The sequence below is a fragment of the Homo sapiens genome, chromosome 6 (assembly GCF_000001405.40).
Source record: "Homo sapiens chromosome 6, GRCh38.p14 Primary Assembly".
In the NCBI taxonomy this organism is placed as follows: domain Eukaryota; kingdom Metazoa; phylum Chordata; class Mammalia; order Primates; family Hominidae; genus Homo; species Homo sapiens.
Genome location: NC_000006.12, coordinates 75354485 through 75368537, shown reverse-complemented (window position 1 = coordinate 75368537; position 14053 = coordinate 75354485). Strand labels below are relative to the sequence as shown.

At 39.5% G+C, this 14053-nt stretch overlaps 1 protein-coding gene across 6 annotated transcripts in view, besides 1 other annotated feature; it reads left to right on the top strand.

Annotated features, from left to right (window-relative positions):
• Positions 1-14053, top strand: part of FILIP1 (filamin A interacting protein 1) — a 201942-nt gene that overhangs the window by 125263 nt on the left and 62626 nt on the right. For all 6 annotated transcript variants that reach the window (XM_005248715.6, NM_001300866.3, XM_005248713.5 and 3 more), the window contains one exon: positions 5621-5794. In XM_005248715.6, the coding sequence (XP_005248772.1) occupies positions 5621-5794 (174 nt within the window). The remainder of the gene's footprint in view (positions 1-5620; positions 5795-14053) is intronic.
• Positions 5120-6319: an enhancer, noted in NCBI's record as "CDK7 strongly-dependent group 2 enhancer chr6:76071935-76073134 (GRCh37/hg19 assembly coordinates)". NCBI's record gives its function as "activates an origin of replication core promoter dependent on BRD2, BRD4, P300/CBP, MED14 and CDK7 cofactors, with strong dependence on CDK7, by STARR-seq in HCT116 cells {active_cell/tissue: HCT116}" and the evidence as "EXISTENCE:reporter gene assay evidence [ECO:0000049][PMID:35650434]".

Below are 14053 nucleotides of genomic sequence, written 5' to 3'. Positions count from 1 at the left end.
GCTTACTATGTCATATTGTAAACACCTCTCAATTGTTTGTTTATATCTCTCCAGACTTGAATTCCCGAGGATGCAGTTATTTCTCCAATACTGAATACAATGCATTGCACAAAGTAAATGTGTGCAAATATTTATTGAAGGAGTGATTGGATTCGGCCCTCTTTTGAACCTATGACTCCTGCTTTCCCAGCAAAGCACAGACTCACTCCATTGACTTTATACGATGAATCGCACACTCACCTGTGGGCCCTAGGCCTCACAGAGCAGCTCTTTGCTGCCCCCACATGTTTTGAATCAGCTTCTTATCCAGCCAGCTGAGAAACCCCTTGTTCCACCTGGTGCAGTTTCAGTTGTGGGTATTTATGGAACATCCTTGTTCTTGGCCTCCCTACACCTCCACTGGCACAAAGAACTATGTCTGATGGAAGAGAATGGTGTGACAGCTGTGTCTGTTTCTCTGCTGTAATCTCATATTTGTTCTCTATCATCAGGAGTAAATAAGTTGAACATAGAGTCGTCTTCAAAGCATTCTTCTCTGGGTCATTTTATATGTATTTAAATATAGTGGTCTATTTTGCAGCTTCCCCACATCCTAGGATCTTAACAACTTATTTTGGATAAATTTCTATGTGAAAATATTAATGCTCAAGAACAGAAGTTTTCTTACATTTTGAACTTTATTCTTTTATAGAAAAATTAGCAAGTTTCTCAAAAATGGAGATGTAAAGTTGTTTTATCCCCAAAATATAGGATCTTTTTGTAACATATATTGAATCATTTGTTTGAAATAGTAAAATAGATCTGTGATCACATAGTCGTCTTCATTAATATATTGATTAGATACCACAATATTATTGATTGACTATTTTATTATTATCTCTATTATTCTTTTGAGACAGAGTCTCCCTCTGTCGCCGAGGCTGGAGTGCAGTTGCGCAATCTCGGCTCACTGTGACTCATTGTGACCTCCGCCTCCTGGGTTCAAGAGATTCTCTTGCCTCAGCCTCCCAAGTAGCTGGGACTACAGGCGCACGCCACAACGCCTGGCTAATTTTTGTATTTTTGGTAGACATAGGGTTTCACTATGTTGGCCAGGCTGGTCTTGAACTCCTGACTTAAGGTGATCCACCTGCCTCGGCCTCCCAAAGTGCTGGGATTACAGGTGTGAGCTACCACACCCAGCCTCTTTCCATGATTATTACTATACAATTAAAGAGCCTTTAGTAAGTTTATAGTGAATAGTGTGGTTGTAAATAAATACAATGTATTATATCACCATAGCCTCTTTTTCTTCAGTAATTAGTATCTAGGATAATTAAACTAAGATGAAATATTTAGTATATGTAGCATATCACAATTAATACAGTTCAAGCAAAAGTGTATTTCGGGGGAGGAAAGGAATAGGTGTTTGGTATCAGTTGGAACACAAGAAGCTGTCTTCTAAGAGAATTAGGAAGTTTGGGGTCAAGATGATCAATACCAATAATATTTGCGTATTTTTAAACTGAATAGCTTAAATGATTAAACTGAAATAGATACCTGCTTACAGTTTTAAAAGTACTTTATTTGCATTATCTTGTTTAGAGCCTAACACAGTCCCTATAATGTATAGGGGTTGTGTCCCCACTTTACAGACAAGGAAACAGTCAGGGAGATTAAATAACTTTTGGAGAGACTGCTCTGATTTTGAAATTCCTTTTTGAAAAAAATATTCCTAAAAGTAGATTGTGAAATATCCAGACAGTTTTAACAATATCAGTTTTACACGTTATATTTGGTTAGGGAAAAATATATCTTATAAAATTCCTTTTCTACCCCTGCAGCAAAAAGTTATTTAATCATGGAGACCTAACAGAAACCATAGTAAATCATTGCTATTGTCTCAGCACCTACTTTAATGCCAAGTTTTATGTTAGGCGTCTTATATATTTACATCTGATTTTAAACTAACAGCAAGTATATAAGAAAGTTATTATGATCCAACTTCATAAATGATAAATTAGGTCAAAGCAAGGTTAGCAGCTTGCACAAATCAAACAACTTAGCTGAGATTGGAAACTATTTCTGAGTCTCTTCAAAGCTGGACACATTCTACTATATCATGATAAAAATTTTATTCCTATATTTTAATTAAAATTCATATTTGCTTGATAGCTTTAAGATTTATTTAATTTTTTATGCTCAAGCCATGTAAACTTGTGCAAACCAGCAGTACAACTGATGCTGTCAAGATTACTTGATACAGTTTACATTTGAGAGCCAATTTCTGATTACCTTTATCCATAACTAAGGACAAACACTTTTTCAGAACGTCATTTGTGGAAAGACCATATGGAAATAGTTCTGCTGTGATTCCTTCAGGTGTCTAGTTAGAATGTGACTAAATCATAATAAATATTAGGTGGGAAAACCTATAATCCTTATACTACCCTGTTTTCAGTACACTTACCCAGCTCAGTGGCTGTTTTACCTCTGGCTTTACTGGTGTGTTTGAAATAATTCTGAAAGAAATCAGGACAATGCCAAAAAGAGGTCATAGAATAATCCTTGAGCAATTTTTGTTTTATACCCTTCTTTGTGTTAAATCTTACAGATACTGTGCATAGGACTGTCTATAGTCAGAATGAAAGTGGCTTTCTCAGCATTGGGAACATAAAAAAGACAGAACTTTCTATGAAATTATTTGCCTTTGTTTTATTTCTGGGGAATAAGGAATGATGAAGTATTTCTTTTTTCTTTATGAAGGTACTACTTTGTTTCTCTTTGTAAAACTAGTTACATATTTACTGTAGAAAATTTAGAAAATACATACCTGTATAAACAAAAAAAAAAAGGTTAAAAACAGTCCTTAGGCCAGGTGCAGTGGCTCACGCCTGTAATCCCAGCACTTTGGGAGGCCGAGGCGGGCAGATCACCTGAGGTCAGGAGTTCGAGACCAGCCTGGCCAACATGGCGAAACCCTGTCTCTACTAAAAATACAAAAATTAGCCAGGCGAGGCGGCATGTGCCTGTAGTCCCAGCTACTCAGGAGGCTGAGGAGAATTGCTGAGGAGGCAGGAGAATCGCTTGAACCCGGGAGGTGGAGGTTGCAGTGAGCCAAGATCACGGCACTGCACTCCAGCCTGGTTGACAGACTGAGACTCTGTCTCAAAAACAAAAACAAAAACAAAAAACAGAAAAACAAACAAACAAAAAAACCAGCCCTTAATATTACTACCCTGTCTTCTAAGCCCTTTTCTTTTAGTCTTTCAGAAATTTTGTAATCAGTATCTCAATTTATGGTACAAACAACAGTACATTCTTTTTAATTTTTTTATATTAAAATTATTTATTTATTTATTTTTTCAAAGGACAGTACATTCTATGTCTGCTCTATAAGACTTCACATTTCACATGTTAGAAAAATGAACCTTAGAAAATGGCCTTTACTTCATCTGATTTAAAGATGAGAAAGAGACAGTAGTTTGTTATCAAGAACTTCCAGCTTGCCAACCTTCTATCATCGCCATTTTTTCACTTTAAATGTGATTCTAAATTTTCCTTTCCTGTCATTACATAAGTCACTAAATTCACAGTATGGTGTTTCTTCTTTAAAGACGAGTTTGTCTCTTTCAGATTTGGTCTAAGCAAAAAACTGACCTCGGGTGTGAGGATGACTTAAAGGAGAAAGGTGATGACACCTTTTTAAGATCGGAAAAAGGAAATGCACTTGCACCAAAGTAAGAAAGTTTACTTTGGATGATGCCAAGGATTTGTATTCAATTTAGTTGCTATGTCTCATAATCTATTAGTGTGGCACAGTACTCTCAACTTTGGAATCACCTGGGAGCCTTAAAAAGTGTTGATGTGTAGGTCCTTCTCCAAAAGATTAGAATGTAATTGGTCAGGAGTGGCCTGGGCCTTGGGATTTTTTAGAGTTCCTCAAATGACTTCAGCACAGTCAGCATTGTGAATCATTATTTTAGAATATGCTTTATATATTCACCTATGTCAGATGAACATAGGAGCACTTTCTGCCTGAAGACCAATAGCAGTCTACATAACTTGAGACTCCTTCAGTACAGATTGGGAGTTATGCCTTGTACAATGGTGCCTGGCAGAGAGGATGAATGGGGCTAAAATACAGCCTGCTCTTCACTCACTACGTAAGCTGTGCTCTGACTCAGGGCTGTGTCTCCTGAATAAAGTGGGCACGTTTTTCTGATGAGCACAGTGTACAGGCTAACTTGACCCTGCATCTGTGCTTATCTTCTTTCAACCTGCATGGAGACACATTGCCTTTCCATTAAACTACTTCCTGACTTCAACATTCTCACCAACATTCTAAACCACTGGGTTCTTCAAAATTCATATTTTCCATTTTTGTCTTGAAGTGAGCATACGTATATGTGGCAGAGACATTTCAAATCTGCAAATTCCAGTTCACTGACATCTCAGTAATGAATTATTCTGTAGCCATATGGAATTAGATTAATTTGGAGACCAAAAAAGCAACAAAAGTGAGAAACCTCAAGAAAGACAAACTTTATAATGGTCGTATCATGAATACTCATAGTTGACTACTTAGCTCTCTTCTTTAGAATATCATAATAATGAACCAGGTTTATAATTTCAGTCCCACAGTTAGCATCAATATAGGAGAAAATTCTATTCCATTGTCATAGGCTGAAACTTTGTTCCCAACCAGCTTTTTCTTTAGTATAAGTTGGAATGAAGTCAGGGCACTTCTTACCCATCACCATTACTGGAAAAATAGCTCCAAGTGTGTCCCCATATGGAAATACATTCAGCAAATGTCAGCTCCATCATAACTAGAAAGATCAACCCTACTAACGAGTGCAAAACATAAACAGGTGTATTTGCATTATGTGATGGGAACCACAGACAGTATGATATAAAGCCTACAATCGTGGTTTTCTTGAAAGCTTCAGCAATACGTTGTGCTAAGAAACAAACAAACAAAACTCTGACCTACCAAGCTGACTCATCTAACTGACAGTCTGATGTTAAAGGGGTGAAATTTCACCTTTTTTGTGAATACATTAGATACATTAGATTTGAAAAGGACAGCCAAGCATTATGTGAGTTCTCAACCATGTGTTTCTGTGCAAAATGAATCACCTAATGAGAAACAGGAAATAACCAATAAAGGCTGTTTGTTAATTACACATGAAGTTATAACTAGAATGGAGGCAGCAGGGTTTTATTTTAAACCAGATTTGAATACTACATTGAGAACATCAATAGAAAACTAGAAGATTTTAGACTGTCATTGACCTCATGTGCACTGGAACAGGTTAAGTATGCCAGGACCAGCCCTGCTTGCCTCCCTCCCCCACCCCATCCCAAATTATTGCTACTTAGATAAAGCAATTTTTATGTAGTTAATATTAGCACAAATCCTTTTTTCTGCTTGCCTGCTTCCTAGCAACCTGAAGCAGAGTATCTGCTTGCCAATCTGCTTTTGGTTAAAAAAAAAAATTAGAGCAGAATACCCAGTGAATTTGCCAATAGCCCTGACAAGATGGGGATGTATTCAATAAGCTCTCTGTTGATTTTTTGAGCCCAGTATGCGATTTACATTGTCAGTCGTCTGATCTTGCTGCACTTTCTATTACAGGCCAGAGAAGATGTGATCCACATGCTGAAGACAGAGAAAACCAAGCCTGAGGTTCTGGAGGCTCATTACGGGTCTGCGGAGCCAGAGAAAGTGCTGCGGGTCCTGCACCGAGATGCCATTCTTGCCCAGGAGAAATCCATAGGAGAAGATGTCTATGAGAAACCGATTTCAGAGGTAAAAATATGACACCAACAAGTCCCCTGGATGGGAACCTCAGGGAGATATCTTCACATTCTTCCATTTACATGCTTTAACATTTTCTTTCAAAGGCAAAATTTTGATGATACACTAATATACAATTAAAGTGTAATTAAATAAGTCAAGGGTTATAGTGGATAAGCTTCAATGTTAAGAATTGTAGAAGCTTCTCTTTAAACATACCAAAGCCTGAAATATATTTTTCCATGTGGTTCTGATAGTTACATGCTCTTGCAGTATATTATTCTTTTACTTCTCTAAGAAATGATATGTGTAAAAATTTGAAGTACTTGCCAGTTTTAACATTGAGCTGTCAGGATTCTTACAAAATTGGTAACCTAAAATTAAATTGATCTTATCTGATATGGTTATAAAGACACTTTTTTGAATTTTATAAACTCTTTCATAATGAAAATGATCTAATGTGAGTGGCTAAAATACAGTGATAGAGGCAAAATTCTAATGAAATGCTTAGGGCAATTCTTTGAGATGAAATGAATTCTACTAGGGCTATGACTATTATTATCGATTACTCATAATACCACATTTTAAAAATACTCTCACATTGTAGCAGAAGTTTGAGCCAGATTGCGATACCAGTTTTTCACATTGACCCTTCAGACTTTATATTAAAAAATTTACAGTTGTGAAATTAGTGTCATGAATGAAAAAAGAGAACAGAAATTAAAAGTCTGAAACAACTTACTATACGTTTAACATGTAATTTATGTCAAGCCTTTGGATCAGCTCAGTTTGATAATTCTGAGAGATAAGATCTGCTGTAGACAGCATTCACAACAGATTGATGGTCCCATAATTTTCAAATTACTGCAGCAAGAATAGACTGGAGCTCTATTCTCATCTTTTCCTAAAGAGTTAAGAGATGATTATAAGATAGGATGCAGTCAACAGGCTGGATCTACTTTCACTTCTGAGACTTACCACTGCTAGCTGTGTATGGCTATAGGCAGATTATGTAAGCTCTTTAAGCCTCAGTTTCCTCATCTGTGGGGTGTGAGGAACCACAGTGTCCACCTCATAGAACTGCTGTGAGGGTTTAATAAAGCAGTGCCTATAAAACTCTTAACATAGTTTCTGGCATATTCTAAGTACTCAGCAAGTATTAGTTATTAGAATTTGCTGGGATTCAAAAATGATAACTGCTCATACCCTTAATTGGTTTGAAACTTGGGGAGATTTGAGGAGTAAAAGACACAGAGGTCAAAAACATGTATTTGTTTAATATGATAATAATAATAACTTGGATTAGAGAACTCAGCTTGGATAAATGGTCTCATTTGGGCTTCTGAATTATTTTCTTCCAAGGCTAGAGCTTGGGATGACACTCCCCACCCTCACCACCAAGGGAGAGGTGCGTCTGCAGAGCATACACGCTTACCCAGGATTACTGCCTCCAATCCACTGGGTTCTATGGGCTGAACACAGAGAGGGGAGTTTCTGACCTACCTTTAGAAAGTAGGCCTGACCTAAATATTCCTAACTCAGGGACAGAGGATCAGAACAGAAAACACTCATCCTGTGAGTTGTCCTTCTGGAACTGGCTAAGCTGGGCATATTTCATGGTTCCTTTCTCCTCTTAACAATCTGAAGAGTCATTTCCCCTTTGGGGAGAAGTGAGTGAGAAGGCAGAGAGAGAGGGCAGAAAATACTTTTCCTGATACTGCCAAAATGAAGTCCATTTTGTGAGAGAAATAGAATGATAGAAGGAGAAAAGATTGCCTTCCACCACTTACACATTTTGGGTCTGTTAACCTTTTAAATTAACAGTCAAGTTCTTGTTACCTAGGAGCAGAATCCTGCTTCCAAATTCACGAGGCAGGAACCGCGATACATCACTGTTCCATTAGCCTCCTGGGATCACGAGCAGGTAGTCTAGCTCTTGTTTCCTAGAAGCAATGTTATACCTTAAGCCAAAAATCACTGATCATTCTTATTTCCATACCATATTAGGCCCAGCGAGGGTATCCAATAGAACTCACCAGCGGTTAAGCAATGAACCCAGTACAGTGGACCTATTTCCCTTGCCAAATATCTGGGGAAGAATTAAACAGCAAATATTAAATCTCTCTGCCCTTCTTCGTAAATTAAAGTCTGGAATATCAAAGTTCATAATTCTTAAGTAAAATTCCAAAAACATTGAAGGCTTTCATTTCTTTCCTTCCTAATTTTGTATTCTGCTTAGCCTAAGCCAGTGGGATCTCAATTGATTGGGTAGAGTTTGTTTTTGTTTTCTCCTTTAGTAAAAAAAACCTGGACTCACTGGCATTTTCAAAGTTGTATTAATATATCCGGAAGTCCCTAGAGTCTACTTTTTTCTGAAGAATCTAAAGAATTATTAGGACACATGCAATTATCAGAGTACAACCTCACACTCATAAATTTAAAAAATACAAGAGAGTCTCTAGCACTAAGATACATTTTTCTCAAGCAAAATTATATTCCTTGACCTTAGGACTCAGTATAAAGAAGGTCCATGTTACTCCTACCAGATACTGAAGCAGAGATTTTGGGCATGTCTGAGGGAAGGAAGGTAGATAGAGAAAATCTTCAGCCATAGCAGGGTTCTGGTAAGTCTGCTCTTACCAGAGCCTGTTGTCATCAGCAGCTTAATAATTATGGGAAATGGCAAGCTCGAGGTTAGGTGGAGCCTGTCTGCAGGTATTGTCTTTGCCCTCAGTGAGTGGCGTTCAAAACATTCCTGTCTTTTCGTAAAGTCTAGGGATTTGCAGTGGTGACCTCCTCAGTGCCTAGGTCTCATTTTAGGTACTCAATTTTTCCCACCTGAGTATTTAAGACCTCTTTGATCTTTTTCTTTTTTCAGGCCCTGTTCCCAGGCCTAGGAAGCCCATCGCTTTAGAGGGTCACCCTTCTGAAGCCTGTGTAATTTGAGACCCAGAAGGGATCAGACCTTACTCTTCCTCAGAACTTAGCCTCCCCTCATGTTTGAACTTTCAATCCTTGAGTAACTTGTCTGACTCAAGGCAACAAAAATATTTTCTTCTGCCACAACTTTTTCTGTTGTGAGAGAGGAAGGCTCAGCTGAGTTGTAGCTTCAGCATTTTAGTCATTTTCTTCAAGTGCTCCCAGACATTTGTTTTTCTAATATTGCCTTCCATATTCTTCATTATGTGGACTCCCTCAATGAGAGATGTGAAATCAAGGAATTCTGAGTCTGCCAAGAGTATTCTTTGTTAAACCTAAATCTTATCTATTTTCATGTTCTTGAGTTGGATAATCTTCATTAAAGGGCCTTTTTCCATTAACCACACCCACATTTGGACTTATCTGACGCTGTCCTGCCTAAATCTCCTTTTATCTCATCTTTCCTTCAAACACTACATCCCAACATTTCTTGAGTATATTCACTCAGGGCCCCAGTGATATTGGCAATATCACTGGGCGCGGTGGCTCATGCCTGTAATCCCAGCACTTTGGGAGGCTGAGGCGGGCAGATCACTTGAGGTCAGGAGTTCGAGACCAGCCTGACCAATATAATGAAACCCCATCTCTACTAAAAATACAAAACTTAGCCAGGCGTGGTGGCGGGTGCCTGTAATCCCAGCTACTTGGGAGGCTGAAGCACGAGAATCACTTGAACCTGGGAGGCCTCGGCAGTTGCAGTGAGCCAAGATGGCGCCACTGCACTCCAGCCTGGGTGAAAGAGCAAGACTCTTTCTCAAAAATAAATAAGGGCTGGGCGCAGTGGCTCACGCCTGTAATCCCAGCACTTTGTCAGATCACGAGGTCAGGAGATCGAGACCATCCTGGCTGACATGGTGAAACTCCATCTCTACTAAAAATACAAAAAATTAGCCAGGAGTGGTGGTGCGCGCCTGTGGTCCCAGCTACTCGGGAGGCTGAGGCAGGAGAATGGCATGAACCTGGGAGGCAAAGGTTGCAGTGAGCCGAGATCGTGCCACTGCACTCCAGCCTGGGTGACAGAGCAAGACTCTGTCTCAAAAAAATAAAAATTAAAAAATTAAAAAATTAAATAAATAAATAAATATTGGCAATTCCGTCTACAACAGCTGAGACACTGAAATTCACCAAATAATGCTTCAGATGTCTTACCCTGATCTTCCCAGATTTCGATTCTTAAATCTGTTCATATTTTATATAACCACTTTGAATAGATGTTGCAGTCTTCACGGGAAGGGCCCCCAGATGAGCTCATGAAAGACTGTCAGCCCATTTACAGTGTCCTCCTCAATGCCTTCCTGGAGCCTAATGCCTTCTTTGTGAGGAAAGTCACCCTGCTCTGTCCTCTGGGCTCTCCTGTCTCTATCTTCTCTGGGCACGCATTCTGATTCAACAATGTCTGAAATACCTTCCATTTTAATATCCCTATTTTTAAGAGTACTTAGATCCATTTCTCCTTTGTGTAAATCTAGTTTGGTCTTTAAGACCTCATATTTGCTTTTAAGTAGACTTCTCTTTTCCCCAATTCCTTAATACTTCTCCAGTTAGCCCTTTGCAGGTAACAGAGTTAAAAACACTTCCTGAATCATGCCTTTTTATCTAAAACATACTGAAATTTCTCCTCAAGTTATTGTACTTCTCCACTAACTTTATTCATTAGAATAAGACTTCCAGGTACACTCTTTCCTTAGTAAATTTTTGGCATTTGGTGTTATGATTATCTCATTCAATTTTCCTTCCACTTCGTCCAAGTAGAATCTATATTTCCAAAGCAATAGGTGCCTATTCTACTTTCACTAGTCATTTAATAAAACCCATTCCTCTGTACTAAGCCACAGCTTGGATCCTGAAAACCAAAAGCCATGTACATATAGTATCTATGATTAATGAATCTACAGAATCTATAGTTATGGGATATAGTCTTCAGAGCCTCTGGACAAGCCACATAGAGCCAAGAAAATAGGCTACCTCTGTTCTCTCTTAGGTGACTGATGTAGTTCCAAACAAAAAAACAAGAAACAGCATCTGGTACAGCTGATCTTTTGCTACCTATGTTATTCTTACATCCAAAACTTAAAATTGACACCTAAAACCTCACACACTAATGTGTGTTATAGCAGAAGAATTTACAGCCTCTACATTCTAAAGTCTGGATCTGCAGCTCTGCCTAAGAAACACATTACATACACCAATGCCTCAGTAACTTATGCATTAAGAGATGAAAACACTGCTTTCCAGATAATGTAATTACTGTTGTGGTCAAGCTGTGCTAGTGTTGGTGAGGTGAACATTACCCACAAAGACTTCAGCCACCTACTCCAGTGGCTTAGTCCAGAACTGTGGCTATTGCAAACAACCAGTCTCAAAAGCCTACAAGAATAGATGTAAAAAGGCTAAGGCCTACCCTCTGCCTGGGCGGCCCCAGAACACTTGATACTTCCATGTGCTGTTTTTTTCTCCAGATGTCCATGTAATGACTATCTCTTTACATTTCCCAGTCAAACATCTGATTAGTAATGCTGCCACCTTCCTCTCCAGAATTCCTTACATGGATTGAGAGATACTGCAGAAGAGTTTGAGCTTTGAGATCACAATGTATCATTGTATGACAGGCAGAGTAAAAAATAAGAAATGAAAGGGCTGGGCTGCACACATCCAGTTCCCTATTCCAAACACAACTTTCAAATAAGTCACCTCTCCTTCCTTTGGGAGGAGTTGGGTAGGGCCTGAAGAAACAGGGAAAATACTGATCTTCAAATAGTTTCCAAAAGATGGAGGGTCCTATTTTATGATAAAGCAGGAAGACTGAAAAAGGGGGGAAAGTTGCTTTTTCTACATTTTTGATGATGATGATGATGTTTCAGCAATGCTTGACACGTTCTCTAAAATATGTTGAAAATCACACGTAGAAATTTGGAAAGTTCTTGGGGAGAATATTTTGTAATAGAGAATGGAGCTATTACAATGGGAAAACCTCATGTATAGACTGTCCCTTTAAGACTACAAAAATTGACCAGCCGCGGTGGCTCATGCCTGTAATCCCAGCACTTTGGGAGGCAGAGGTGAGTGGATCACCTGAGGTCAGGAGTTCAAGACCAGCCTGGCCAACATGGTGAAACCCCGTCTCTACTAAAAATACAAAAACTAGCTGGGTGTGGTGGTGGGAGCCTGTAATCCCAGCTACTCAGGAGGCTGAGGCAGGAGAATTGCTTGAACCGAGGAGGCGGAGGTTGCAGTGAGCCAAGATCGTGCCATTGCACTCCAGCCTGTGCAACAAGAGCAAAACTTCATCTCAAAAAAAAAAAAAAGACTACAAAAAATTATTAGAAGATGTAAAAATACAATTAGCAATTCCTGATGATCTCAGATATTATCAGCCACCCATTAACGTGGGCTTCTCCACCAGTCTCTATCTGGTCACCTATTCCTAAACAAGGGAAGTGGAGATCTGGGAAGAAGATAATGTGAGCAGCTCTCTTTTATTTTGGGCCCCAGGAATGATTCACTCACAATGAACATATCAGGCAATTATAGAGAGAACTTCAAATCCTCCTTATAACTGAAGGGCAAACAGAAACTAAAGGGGAATAGCTCTGATGCTGAGACCCTGTGGAGTTACCCCGTGGGGTTTCAGAAAGTTGGTTGTGAGATTGAGAACTGATTTTAAATATGTCTGTTTCAACTAGAACAGTGGTTCTCAATTGGGGTGGCGGTGGATTTTTCCCTCCAGGGAACATTTGGCAATGTCAGGATGGTTTGATTGTCACACAGGAGGTGGGGCTTACTGGCATCTAGTGGACAGAGGCCAGGGATGCTGCTAAACATCCTCCAGCTCACAGCACCCCGAAATGAAGATGTATCTGGCCTCAGCAGTGCCAAAGTTGTGGAACAATGAATTAGAACTCAAAGGGGGAAAATAGGATACTGAGTAGGATAGGGAAATATCAAGATTGTAAGATTTGGTCCAATTTAACAAACACTTACTGAACATCAACTTTGTACCAGGGCCTGTGCTCAGCACCAGGGACTAAAAAGGTGATCAAGGCATGATCTCTTTAAAATCATATAACCTGGCCAGGACAGGTGCGGTGGCTCATGCCTGTAATCCCAGCACTTTGGGAGGCCAAGGCGGGTGGATCACCTGAGGTCAGGAGTTTGAGACCAGCCTGGCCAACATGGTGAAAACTCATCTCTACTAAAAATACAAAAATTAGCTGGACGTGATGACTTGTGCCCTGTAATTCCAGCTACTTGGGAGGCTGAGGCAGGAGAATCGCTTGAACCCAGGAGGTGGACGTTGCAGTGAGCTGAGAGGTCGTGGTCGTGCCACTGCACTCCAGCCTGGGCAACAGAGTGAGACTTGGTCTCAAAAAAAAAAAAAAAAAAAATCTTATAACCTGATCAGAGAAAGAGGCACAAAGACCTGGTAATAATATTTCCGGATTTTTTATTCTTTTGTTTTGTTTTGTTTTGGTTTTGGTTTTTGAGATGGAGTCTTGCTTTGTTGCCCAGGCTGTAGTGCAGTGGTGTGATCTCAGTTTACTACAACCTCTGCCTCCCGGGTTCAAGCGATTTTTCTGCCTCGGCCTCCCAAGTAGCTGGGATTACAGGCGTCTGCCAACACGCCTGGCTAATTTTTGTATTTTTAGTAGAGACAGGGTTTCACCATGTTGGTCAGGCTGGTCTCGAACTCCTAACCTCAAGCAATCCACACGCCTCCGCCTCTCAAAGTGCTGAGATTACGGGCATGAGCCTTTGCGCCCGGCCTCTGCAATAATATTTGGTAAGAACTCTTTTAGAGATATGTACTGTCTACAAGTTCTGAAATCCTCCCTATATTTAGCATCTCTTGAAAAAAAGAGGACTTTGGATCCTACATATACTTTTCCTAGAAATGCATATAGCTGCAAGCTTTAAAAACAGATTGTGATGAAAATTACTTTCCAGGGGAGAAGTCTGGTGCATGTACATGCTGAGATCTTAATTTTTCTATTAGGAAGGGTGTTATCCTCTTTCTGAGTATAGAGCTTTGTGCTATCTCATTAAAACCGTGAAAGAGTTGTTTTCCTGAAAGTTTAGGAACCCAAATGACCAATAAACAAATGAAAAAGTGTTTGAACTTTATCAGGTAAGTGAGCATTAAAATCACGTTGAGCGAACACTACACACCCACCAAAATGGTTAAAAGGTTTTTTTTTTTTTTTTTTTTGAGATGGAGTCTCCCTCTGTTGCCCAGGCTGGAGTGCAGTGGTGAGATCTTGGCTCACTGCAACTTCTGCCTCTAGGGATCAAGCC